This window comes from Homo sapiens, chromosome 13, assembly GCF_000001405.40.
Source record: "Homo sapiens chromosome 13, GRCh38.p14 Primary Assembly".
In the NCBI taxonomy this organism is placed as follows: domain Eukaryota; kingdom Metazoa; phylum Chordata; class Mammalia; order Primates; family Hominidae; genus Homo; species Homo sapiens.
Genome location: NC_000013.11, coordinates 21110009 through 21112613, shown reverse-complemented (window position 1 = coordinate 21112613; position 2605 = coordinate 21110009). Strand labels below are relative to the sequence as shown.

Here is a 2605-nt window from a genome sequence, read left to right as displayed (position 1 = left end):
GTTTTTTTTTTTTCTGAGACGGAGTCTTGCTCTGTCACCCAGGCTGGAGTGCAGTGGCGTGCTCTCAGCTCACTGCAACCTCTGCCTCCCGGGTTCAAGTGATTCACCCACCTCAACCTCCTGAGTAGCTGGGACCACAGGTGTGTGCCACCACACCCAGCTAATTTTTGTATTTTTAGTAGAGATGGGGTTTCACCATGTTGCCAGGCTGGTCTCAAACTCCTGACCTCAAATTATCTGCCCGCCTCGGCCTCCCAAAGTGCTGGGATTATAGTTGTGAGCCACTGTGCCCGTCTAGGTGTCCTTTTTTTTTTTAAGAGACGGATCTTGCTGTGTTGCCCAGGCTGGAGTGTGGTGGCTATTCACAAGTGTGATCACAGCACACAGCGAACTCCTGGCCTCAAGTGGTCCTCCTGACTTAGCCTCCTGAGTAGCTGGGATGATAGGCTCATGCCACCACACCTTGTTTAGGTTAAGTGTATTAAATGCATTTTTTTTTTTTTGAGACGGAGTTTCACTCTTGTCACCCAGGCTGGAGTGTAATGGCACGATCTCAGCTCACTGCAAACTCCACCTCCTGGGTTCAAGCAATTCTCCTGCCTCAGCCTCCCAAGTAGCTGGGATTACAGGTGTGCGCCACCATGCCCAGCTAATTTTTGTATTATTATTAGAGATGGGGTTTCACCATGTTGGCCAGGCTAGTCTCAAACTCCTGACCTCAGGTGATCCGCCCGCCTCGGCCTCCCAAACTGCTGGGATTACAGGCGTGAACCACCGCGCCTGGCCTTGCAACTGGGATTCATTTGAGAATGCGTGGGGCCCCAGGACAACAGGTGTAAATGGGGCTTGTTCTATGCAAACCAGGTCCTGGTCAGGCTCTCTGGTCACCCTTGCCATAGCCTGGCTCAGGGCTCCCTCCCTCCTGCCTGGTGGACAAGTTTCCTGCCTGGCCTCCCAGGTCCCAGGTTTGCCTTCTCCCTTCCAGTCTCCACACTACAGCCCAGGCATCTGCTTAATCCATCAAGCTAATCATGGCATTCCTGGCTCCAAACCACTCGGTGCTTCTTGGTCATCTTAAACTTTCAATTACATCATTGTCATCACGTCTTAAATCATTAATTACTTTTGCTGTTTGTATTAGTCTGTTCCTGCCACTGTAACAAAATACCTGAGACTAGGTAATTTATAAACAACAGGCTGGACACGGTGGCTCACACCTGTAATCCCAGCACTTTGGGAGGCCGAGGCGGGTGGATCACCTGAGGTCAGGAGTTCAATATCAGCCTGGCCAACATGGCAAAACCTCGTCTCTACTAAAAATACAAAAATTAGCCAGGCATGGTGGCGGGCACCTGTAATCCCAGCTACTCAGGAGGTTGAGGCTGGTGAATCGCTGGAACCGGGGAGGCAGAGGCTGCAGTGAGCTGAGATCGTGCCACTGCACCCCAGCCTGGGTGACAGTGCAAAACTCCATCAAAAAAACAAAACAAAACATAAAAAACACCAGAACTTTATTTCTCACAGTTCTACTTTTTTTTTTTTAACCAATACACTTGATGTCTCAAACTCGATTTCTCACAGTTCTGTGGAGGCTGGGAGGTTAGATCAGGGTGCTGGCAGGTGTGTGGTCTCCGAGGGCGACTCTGCTCCCAGATGCCACCTTGTGGCTGCATCTTCTGGAGCAGGCGGACTCTGCGTCCTCACATGGCAGAAGGCAGAAGAGACAAGACTTGAATGCCATGTGAAACCTTTTTAATAGGGCTCTTAATCCCACTCATTAGGGAGGAGCCCTCATGGTCTAATCACCTTTTAAAAGGCCACCTCTTAATATTATCACATTGGCCATTAAATGTCAACACCTGAAGTTTGAAGGGAACACATTCAAACAGTAGCATTGTTTTAGTTTAAATTATGTGAAGTTCTTCGTGCTGTATCAGTAACCTGTGGCTTTTGGCTAGGTGTGGTGGCTCACACCTGTAATCCCAGCACTTTGGGAAGCTGAGGCAAGAGGATCACCCAAAAGTTCGAGACTAGCCTGGGTAACATAGTGAGACCCCCATCTCTACAAATACTAATAATATTAAATGTTGGCTGGGTGCAGTGGCTCACGCCTGTAATCCCAACACTTTGGGAGGCCGAGGTGAATCACCTGAGGTCAGGAGTTCGAGATCAGCCTGGCCAACATGGTGAAACTCCATCTCTACTAAAAATACAAAAATTAGCCGGGCATAGTAGTGCATGCCTGTAATCCCAGCTACTCCGGAGGCTGAGGCAGGAGAATCACTTGAATCTAGGAGGCAGAGGTTACAGTGAGCCAAGATCACACCCCTGCACTCCAGCCTGGGCAACAGAGAAAGACTCTGTCTCAAAAAAAAAAAAAAAAAAAAAAAGGCCAGGCGCCATGGCTCACGCCTGTAATCCCAGCACTTTGGGAGGCCAAGGCGGGGGGATCACGAGGTCAGGAGATCAAGACCATCCTGGCTAACACGGTGAAACACCGTCTCTACTAAAAGTAGAAAAAAAATTAGCCGGGCGTGGTGGCGGGTGCCTGTAATCCCAGCTACTCAGGAGGCTGAGGCCAGAGAATGGCGTGAACCTGGGAGGC

The 2605-nt window shown here is 49.9% G+C and overlaps 1 annotated feature.

The window, feature by feature from the left end:
* Window positions 1572–1781: an enhancer, noted in NCBI's record as "active region_7429". NCBI's record gives its function as "activates an Ori minimal core promoter by ATAC-STARR-seq in GM12878 lymphoblastoid cells {active_cell/tissue: GM12878}" and the evidence as "EXISTENCE:reporter gene assay evidence [ECO:0000049][PMID:35858748]".